Source organism: Homo sapiens, chromosome 4 (assembly GCF_000001405.40).
Source record: "Homo sapiens chromosome 4, GRCh38.p14 Primary Assembly".
NCBI lineage: Eukaryota > Metazoa > Chordata > Mammalia > Primates > Hominidae > Homo > Homo sapiens.
The window spans coordinates 104,421,919-104,426,056 of NC_000004.12; the positions used below are offsets into that span (position 1 = coordinate 104,421,919).

General features: G+C 37.5%; 1 annotated feature.

Moving 5' to 3' along the window:
• Positions 2,500–3,820: an enhancer, noted in NCBI's record as "VISTA enhancer hs260". NCBI's record gives its function as "enhancer in: midbrain (mesencephalon)[6/8]" and the evidence as "EXISTENCE:transgenic organism evidence [ECO:0001131][PMID:17130149]".

The window sequence follows — 4,138 nt, forward strand, 5'->3', positions numbered from 1 at the left end:
GATGGCTTTAAAATAGGAGAAAGTTTGACTTATCTAGTGGAGGGAGGATGCATGAAGGTTTGTAGTTTTAGTCATTTTAGGTGATTCTTTTGTTATAGTTGTTTCTCGGAATTTAACAGTTAACTCCTGCCCCTACCCCCAAAGCAGTTCATCTACTAAAACAAGCTCGTAGTGGCAAGTGGAAAAAATAAACCATAATGTTCAACTTTTTATACTTTCATCAAGCCAGAGAGCTAGCAGAGTTGGTGCTGGATGGGATTATATGATAGAGATATGCGGTGTAGGCTCCAGGTGAAAAATTGAATGTACATTGTTAACTGATAACTGGGCATTGGAACTCCAGTCAAATTAAAGGGATCAACTATCAATATTTGTATTTACTTGCCCTGTATTTTCCTGAGCTTGTTTTTGAGAGGGAAAATACCACCGTCCCCACCCCTTTCAAGCTAAAATGAACAGCTTCATCAGTCTCAGACTGTCTATCTGACACAGATTCGTGGTCAGTTTAGAACAAAGCAGTCAAGCAGAATGCTGGGCACCTGGATGACAGAGCTGCTGGATAAGGATTTGCTATGTTTTTCTTTTGTTTGCTTTTTGCCAATTATTTTTTGTTCTTTGTCTTCTAGGTCTAACTTCTATCTAATATAATTTATTCAAGTCAGCCTATATTATTGACTAACACCTATGTACAAGGAAATTAAGAAATGTGGTGACAACTGGGAAAGGTGGTTGATATTATAGTCAAGGTCTCCTTGCCACAGGTTGAGCAGGGTTTTTTGCCCAGTGTGTGACAAAGTGATTTTCTCCTACACAGTTCTCTAGCTTTCCTGATAGATTTGCACCCAGTCTTTAGTGGGTCACTGCTTATTCCAGGCTTACAGCAGGCTCCTAGATATAAGATGCCCACTTCTCCTTTGCAAACCAGAAGACAACTTGCTCAGCCAAAGGGCATGAGGAGGTGTGTAGGCCCTAGTAGTCATTTATTACTTTTGGGTTTTTTTTGTTTTGTTTTGTTTTGTTTTGTTTTTTGAGACAGGGTCTCGTTCTGTGGCCTAGGCTGGAGTGCAGTGGCATGTTTACTTTGACTGCAGTCTTAAACTCTTGGGCTCTAGTGATATTCTAATCTCAGCCTCCTGAGTAGCTAGAACTACAGGCACGTGCCACCACACCCAGCTAATATTTTTATATTCTTTTGTACAGATGAGGTCTTGCTCCGTTGTCTAGGCCTCAAGTGATCCTCCTGCCTTGGCCTCCCAAAGTGCTGAAATTACAGGCATGACCGATGCACCTAGCTCTAATAGTCATTTATTATAGGAGTTGGTACCGCATGCCGAGTTCCCAAATAAGGGAGTGGTGACTCTCACCTGGGAATATTAAGGAAAAGTAGGAAACATTTGACCAAACACGTGAGTTAATCCCTGGTATCTTTACTGGTTCAAGCTCTAACCTTTGACTTTTCTTTAACTGATCATCCATCATGTACTCTATCATTACTACCTGCAAACATGATTAATTATACCGAACTAAACCTAGTTCATGAGAGTAAACACACACATATACATACACTCTTCTAATGACAGGAACTTCTGACTTCTGCAGAGTCCCATTTCTTTGGTTTCCTCAAGGAGGTAACTGCTTCATTATCAAATAATGGTTTCTAATATTTTCCTCCAGGTTTTCTGCACTTGCTTTCTTTAATTTGAATGTTTTGGTGCAATCTCTTCAGAATACAGTGATCACCATAAAAAGTTCTTGGATTATTCAACATCCAGGTACTTCTTAACCTTAAAATTTCTCTAGTTGCTAAGAAGAACCATTGTTTGTTCTAACTTTCAATATACTTGCAATTCCACAAAAAAAACAAAATAGAAAGTAAAATGATTTTGGCTAGCTCTGTGTATGCTTAAGTCTAGTTTTTAGGCAGCTCTATAGCCAAGCATTTCTGACAAGGGGCATTTGCCAAAAGCAGATTTTCATACAGTTTCCCAAGTTTTTAAAATTGAGTTTGAGGTTTTATTTCTTCTTTTTCTCCTTTTCCAAACTTAGTGGCTTTCTTTTATTGGCTTGTGCTCAGATTGAGCATACTAGAAAATAAAATAAAAGTTAACATATATCATTGGAGACAGGCCTGAGAAACTAATTTGAATGTTGGACATATTTTAGTTAGATAATCTGACAGGGAAAATTTCAGGTCTTAATTAGATGCTTTAATTATTCCTTATTGGTAAAATGAATCTTTATTGATAGAAATTTTAAAAAATTAAATTAAAAACACTGAAATTTGCCTTTTCTTTGTTGTAATTATTGTTATATTTTCAAAAATAAATCTTGATTGCTTATCTCTACACTGTTTTTATTTATTTTTTTTTATTTTGCAGCCTTTTATTCTTGTTTGGGATGCCAGAGAAAAGAAGTCAGGTTTAAAAGCCAATTCACAGATGTAGTTTTTTTTTCTGATTATTAGTAATCATGGGAACTTTTTATAGAATATCTAAAATTTAAATGCAGTCTGGAGGAAGACAATACGCCTTTGTGTCTGTTGAGAGAAACCTCCTATTTGCCTTTGTTGTCTGAACGAATTTCACCCTTCTGTCAAAGTGTGTCCACTCTAACCTTTCCTTTCGCTCTGCTGGCATCTCTCCAGTCTCCAAAATGCATGTTTGACTCTCATCTGACACCTTTATCTGATACAGTCACAACACTTCTTTGCATAATGAGCAGGCATTCCCTACCCATCAGAAAGGTAATTAAAAAAATGTTTAGATTTTTGTTTTCATAGACGTAACAGTATAAATGCAACTTCTGCTCAATTAAGCTGCAGTGTCAGTGAGAGGGGGAGGGGAGGAATGGTTCTTAAACAAGAGCGGATTTTATGTTTCTATCTTAAAACTGGAGATACGGATTTGTGATTTTCCCTCCCCCATGGAAAGAAATCTTTAAATAAAGATGTCTTCATCTGAATTGACCACCGTTTATAAAAGCAAATCTGGTCGGGGCTCTGCTGCTTATGCTGAAGGAACATTCCTCCCCATTACAACGGCATTTGCACATTTATAGGAGGAATAAAGAAAAAGATGCATGATACATGTGAAGGAGCCTTCTCTCTGCCATCCAGAGAAAGAAGAACTAAAAGGATTATAAAAGTTCAGATTAAAATGATATAAAATCTAGCATTTGGCTCCAACACTAGTGCCTTGGTCCTCTGAAGCTAATCTGTATGCACTCTGTGACCTCCTCGCAGCGAACCCTGCTAAATATATTATTCCCACGGGGGCTTTCACTGCTGCTTGGTGTCAGAAATCAATATGTATGAGGCGCGTGGATGGGAATTTCTAATAGATCTGCCTGGCCCTGTGCTGCTTTTCAATATCTGCCTTGGACTATTAGTGCCGGCTCGGTGCCTGTGAAATAACCGAGATAATCTTTTAAGGTGCACTGTTAAGGTGGAACCTAAATGTTGCTGTTTCAATTAAAACAAAAATTATATTCATAAATCAGTCAGGTCTGTGTAACCTTGTATAGTCACTCTGGAAGGCTGATTAGAAAGAAGGTGGGATTTAAAGCTTTTGGGAGTGCAATGTTATTTTTAAATTCTACTTAGAGTTTGAAGAAAGGTTTTACATTTTATGTCTAATAATGTGTTATTTGGAAAGGGGTATCAGATTAGAAATGAAATTTAGAAAGCTGAGAGTTCTCAAATCAAACAGTGTTTGTGTGTGTGGTGGGGGGGAGGAGTCATCTTAATAACAGAGAAAAAGGACTCATAATATGTGGTTAGCAAAGTCATTTTCCCCATATTAGATGAGAACACATTTGCACATGGCTCTTTTTCATATAATTTATTCACACTAAAATTATTGCATGAGTGATTTTTTTTGGATAACTGTACAAATTAATTTTATCCCCATCAAGCAATTGTACCATGTCTTTATTTGTACTTGTATCTGTACAGCTATTTGGAGATAAAAGTGGGCAAGAAAGTAGTTCATTAAAGTTCCATGTTACCCGCCCTAACTGATGAATATCTTTCTTTCTTCAGTAGCCCAAGCACAGTGCAAAGAGGCGTTGGTCTGAGCTGTGTACAGGGAGCACAGCATCAGTCTGGATTCTCCTTGTTTTCCTCTTTGTTTGCAGGTTA